Source organism: Homo sapiens, chromosome 21 (genome assembly GCF_000001405.40).
Source record: "Homo sapiens chromosome 21, GRCh38.p14 Primary Assembly".
Lineage (NCBI taxonomy): Eukaryota > Metazoa > Chordata > Mammalia > Primates > Hominidae > Homo > Homo sapiens.
In genome coordinates, this window is record NC_000021.9 from 42,366,567 (window position 1) to 42,371,889 (window position 5,323).

General features: G+C 53.1%; 3 annotated features.

Moving 5' to 3' along the window:
• Positions 291-390: a silencer, noted in NCBI's record as "silent region_13342". NCBI's record gives its function as "represses an Ori minimal core promoter by ATAC-STARR-seq in GM12878 lymphoblastoid cells {active_cell/tissue: GM12878}" and the evidence as "EXISTENCE:reporter gene assay evidence [ECO:0000049][PMID:35858748]".
• Positions 1,017-2,216: an enhancer, noted in NCBI's record as "MED14-independent group 3 enhancer chr21:43787692-43788891 (GRCh37/hg19 assembly coordinates)". NCBI's record gives its function as "activates an origin of replication core promoter dependent on BRD2, BRD4, P300/CBP and CDK7 cofactors, and independent of MED14, by STARR-seq in HCT116 cells {active_cell/tissue: HCT116}" and the evidence as "EXISTENCE:reporter gene assay evidence [ECO:0000049][PMID:35650434]".
• Positions 2,922-3,912: an enhancer, noted in NCBI's record as "H3K27ac-H3K4me1 hESC enhancer chr21:43789597-43790587 (GRCh37/hg19 assembly coordinates)". NCBI's record gives its function as "activates a minimal SCP1, AML or CMV promoter by ChIP-STARR-seq in naive H9 embryonic stem cells {active_cell/tissue: H9 hESC(naive)}" and the evidence as "EXISTENCE:reporter gene assay evidence [ECO:0000049][PMID:30033119]".

The following is a 5,323-nucleotide window of genomic DNA, read 5'->3' on the forward strand; positions in this document are numbered from 1 at the left end:
GCAGGCTCTGTTTGCTTAAAGAGCGTTAGATAACATTTGCCTAAGGAGGCCCGGGGATCCTCTGAGACAATAATCTCCACTGATTTTTATCAAAGGTGTTTCCTAGACATGGTCAAGCTACATGGAAGGATTTGCTGATAGACAGAGACGACATGTGGTGAGGTCATCTTGGCTGAGGGATCTGAGATTCAGAAAGTCCCTCTTTCCCATGGGAGTCTCCTCCAACCTGACCTTAATCCAGGTCCTACTCATATCTGAGAGGCCCTCCCGCCAGGGTAAATACTGTACTCACTGCAGAAGTGATTCATAGTGAGAGATGGCCGGAAAAAGGCTTGGCCGTGACAACAGTGGCTCACGGGGTGGCCACCGTGACCTTGCAGGGGGAAGGGAAGGAGCTCATGAAGCCCATTCCGTCTAGGCCTAAGCTAATTCTTTTACAGTGGAATTGTTTTAATAATGAAATTGTAGGCCTGGCGCAGTGGCTCACGCCTGTAATCCCAACACTTTGGGAGGCCAAAGCAGGCGGATCACTTAAAGTCAGGAGTTTGAGACTAGCCTGGCCAACATGGCGAAACCCCGTCTCTACAAAAAAAAAAAATACAAAAATTAGCCAGGCATGGTGGCGGGTGCCTGTAATCCTAGCTACTCTGGAGGTTAAGTCAGGAGAATCACTTGAACCTGGGAGGCGGAGGTTGCAGTGAGTCGAGATCACCCTACTGCACTCCAGCCTGAGCGACAGATTAAGTCTCCTTCTGGGAGGGGCTGGGGGCAGGAGGGAGAAAAAAATAGTATATACGAGCTGCCATCAAAAACTGACAAAGTGAACGTGGTTCACTCCCCTGTGTCTATGGGGCTCCCTCCCTCCCCCTCCCACACCTTCCCAGTTGGTCCCCTGGACTCCTGTATTTTAGAGGACAGCCTCCTGCTCTCCTGTACCATGCCTCACTCCCCTCCCCTGCTCGGAGCTTTCTCTTTCATAGCTCTTATTACCTCCTGGTGGATAAAACAAGTGACTGACACATTATGTTGGTTATTTATTCATTGCACTCCTCCCTGCAGCAGACGGGAGGGCGCATGGGAGCAGAAGTCCTCATCTCCTAGTGCCTTGAGGTGGCCCCAGACCCTAGAACAGTGGCTTTGATTGGCATTCGAGAAACAGCTGTTGAAGAGCTGCATGAAGAAATGGACAACAGGAGAAATCTTTTCTTCTTCAGTGAGAAATTAGGCCCTGAGGAAAATGCATGCTAGCCTAACAAAGGTACTATCTTTTCTTGGGTGACCTAGTCAGTACATTTCTGCAGCCCCTCTGGGAGGGGAGCCTGGGCCAGAATGGGGGCGGCCATGTTCCTCTTCGCTCCATCCCAGGACCCAGCCCCTCCTCCAGGGCTGCCACTCCTGCACCGGGGTCTCCACTCCTGGGCCAGGGTCTCCAGGAGGGGCCTGACCGCAGGACCCAGGGAGGGGCCGAGGCCTGGTGTCCTCTGTGGTCAGCTTAAGTTTATTGAAAACAGGACGGGGGCACCAGGCCCAGGGTGGTGCTCATAGTGACGGTGGTTTTCGCTGCTCTAATTTCTCGGATCAAAATGGGGGCTCTTGGAAATGGGATGTAAATTGCACAATCATTTGGAGAAAAGGTGGGCAGTGTTCGGTGAGGTTTAAGCCATACAGATTTTACAGCTCAGCAAATTCTTCTGTTTCCAGGCCTGGTCTCTTAATCCCAGAAACATGTTCATACTTGGGCAGAAGAAAACACAGGCAAAGATATTCTTTTTAGCATTGTTTGTAACAGCTGGAAACAGGGAAAGAAGGAAGGAAGGAAAGGAGGGAAAGAAAAGCAAAATAAATATTCATTAACCAGGGAAAGGGAAAATGAACTTAAAATACAATGCAGTCGTCCCTTAGTACCCCTGGGGGACTGGTTTCAGGACCCCCCACCCAGGGATGCCAAAATCCACAAATGCTCAAGTCCCTGGTATAAAATGACATAGTGCGCAGAAACCACGTGCATCCTCTCCTACACTTTAACCATCTCTAGGTTAGTTATAATACCTGATGCAATACCTACACCTCATTTCATTCTGCAGATTCTACATAGTACTTGACTTGCGGCACACCCAAGTTTTGATCTTTAAGATGTTGTAAATAAGATTTTAAAATACTTTTTTTTTTTGAGACAGAGTCTTGCTCTGTCGCCCAGGCTGGAGTGCGGTGGCATGATCTCAGCTTACTGCAACCTCCACCTCCCAGGTTTAAGTGATTCTCCTGCCTCAGCCTCCTGAGTAGCTGGGATTACAGGCATGTGCCACCACGCCCAGCTAATTTTTGTGTTTTTAGTAGAGACAGGGCTTCACCATGTTGGCCAGGCTGGTCTCGAACTCCTGACCTCAGGTGATGCACCCGCCTCAGCCTCCCAAAGTGCTGGGATTACAAGTGTGAGCCACTGTGCCCAGCTGGATTTTAAAACAGTTTTGATCTGACATTACTGGAATCCATGGATGTAGAACCCATGAATATAGAGAACTAATTGCATACATGTATTATACTTTACATATATTATATATGTATGTATGTGAGTATCTTTCAGAAGATGAAAATGAATAAATAATGAGAAATATTGAAAACAAAGCGAAGTGAAAAAATCCGTTAAAATGGTTTGTAAAGTAGGATATCATTTATAATGTAGATTTCCAAACTATGTGAAACAATGTGATATACTGTTGGAACTGCATCCAGATGAACAAAATGATGACAGTGTAGACAGGAACGAGACACTGACTTCAGCATGATGGGTCTGTCTAGGAAGGAGGAAGCAGGAAAAGGTGGCGGGGTAGGGCGCAAAGGGGCCTTCGATGTCTCCGTAATGTTTTCTTTTGTTGAAGAAAATCTGAGGGAAATAAGGTAAAAAGGTTAGCATCCATTAATGAGGGGCAGCGTAGATTCACGGATGTTGTTCTAGCATTCTGTACATGTTTGCAATTGCTTTCTTGGAAAGCCCAGCTCCTATCTCCTTGGGAGAGCTGTGAGATAACTACCAAGTGCCGGAGTTTGGCCTCCCACATTAGGGTTGGAGCGGCTGGAGCTGCCCCCGGGACTCTCCGTTTCTCGGGACAAGAGCTTTATCCCTGTGAGAGTGGGCGGAACCCAAGACCACACCATACATAACCTTATCCATAAAAACTTGTTGAAGACAATTCCAGTGTGGCGAGGGAGAGAATGCAGAGGCAAGCGCCAGTCCATCATCAGTGGGGGACCCTGTGCCAGCATTTTCACAGCTCTGGGTCTTAGTTTTCTTATCTGAAAGACGCAGTGGCTGGGCCACAGGACATCTGAAGACTCCGCACCTCAGACCCTCTCCGGCAGGCATCTATGGCCGTGGGGGCGTCTGTGGCTGTGCAGGCATTGCTTGTTTCCTGCGCCCAGCCGACCTCCCTGCGGTCTGGCGAGAGCCCCTCATTTTCAGTGGGGGGCCCCGCAGCCGCCCAGATTCCCCACAAGGGGGACGCGCAGTTGGGGAGTCAGTCTCCTCCTGACGCTCCCCACCTGCCCGCTGCCCCTGACCTGTGCCTTGGCAGGAGGGGGTTCTGTAGGTGGCCCTGGAGGGAGGGAGGAGTTTGGGAGGAAGTGGATCCGGGCTCTCCTCCAGGATCCCTCCTGGGATCACCTGGGACAGGCCACGTCCCCCTCTCAGCCACAGCCCAGGTGGGCGTCCTCTCCACACACCATCTTCCCCAGGCCCCAGAGCAGACCCCTCACCCCCCTGCCCCAGCCTGGGGGGTTTACCAGCCGCAAGGAGACTTTTACAGTCTTCACTCTCCTCGCATTGCCCAGATCCGCTGTGGTGAAGCCCGTTTCCTGCCAGGCCTCTGGTCAAAAAAGCAACTGCCACCCCAGGGACCCTTTACAAGGACACCCAGCTGAGGCCCTGGGGTTGGGGTCCTCAGGTATTGGAGGAGGCAGGTACTTTCCTGGCCAGGGAACTTGAGGCACAGACCCACAGCATGGAGCGGGACCACATTCCTCAAATTAACCCAGAAGGAGAGGGGAATGATTGGAGTGTGAGGCCAGGCTCCTCCAGGGAGAGTGGCTGAGGCGCTATGCTTCCATGGTGACAGTAGGGCGGTAACCTCGTCAGGTTAGCCAGCTTCTTCCAGAGCCACACACACCCAGAAAGGGAAGAGGAGATCCAGGACTGAGCATGGACGCAGGACGATCAGAAAGGCGTCCTTGGTGGTACACCCTCCAGACACCATCCACTCCCTCCGGACACCGCTCACACCCTCCAGCCACCGCCAACTCCTTCTGGCCACCAATCACACCCTCCGGTCACTGCTCAGTCCCTCCAGTCAGGGATCACTCCCTCCAACGACCACTCACACCCTCCAGCCACTGCTCACACACTACAGCCACCACTCCAACCCTCCGTTCAGGTCTTACATCCTGTGGCCACTGCTCATTCCCTCCAGTCACCACCCACACCCTCCAGCCACTGCCCACACCCTCCAGCCACCGCTCAAACCCTCCGTCCAGGTCCCATATCTGATCACTGCTCACTCCCTCCGGCCACAGCCCACACCCTTCAGCCACCACTCACACCCTCTGGCCACCACTCACTCCCTCAAGCCACCGCTTACTCCCTCTGACCACCCCTCACACCATCTGGCCATTGCTCACACCTTCCTGCCACTGGCCACTCCCTCCAGCCAGAGCTCACTCCCTCCGGCCACACCCTTCGGGTGCCACTCAAAACCTCCGGCCATGGCTCACACCGTCCAGCCACCGCTCATACCATCCAGTCACCACTTATGCTCTCTGGCCACCGTGCACTCCCTCTGACCACCACTCACACTCTCCGGCCACTGCTCACACACTACTGCCACCACTGAGACCCTCCATCCAGGTCTCACACCCTCCAGCCACCACTCACTTCCTCCGGACACCACTCACACACTGTGGCCACCACTCAGACCCTCCATCCAGGTCTCACACCCTCCGGCCACTGCTAACTCCCTCTGTACAGGGCTCACTCCCTCCGGCCACCACTCACACCCTCTGGCCACCACTCACTCCCTCCGGCCACCGCTCACTCCCTCCGGCCACTGCTCACTCCCTCCGGCCACCGCTCACACCCACTACTTTGCCTGGCCTTGCTCTACTTTTGAGTTCTGTGTATGACACGAGCTGATGCTGATCTGCTGAGCAACCTGTTCCGACAGAAGAATGCCAAGTCCACAACGCACACAGGAGAGATGACAGTAATGGAGCCCCTGGAATTCAGTGGATGATTTTGATTCACGTCACCAGTCCACGCAGACACGCCAGACAA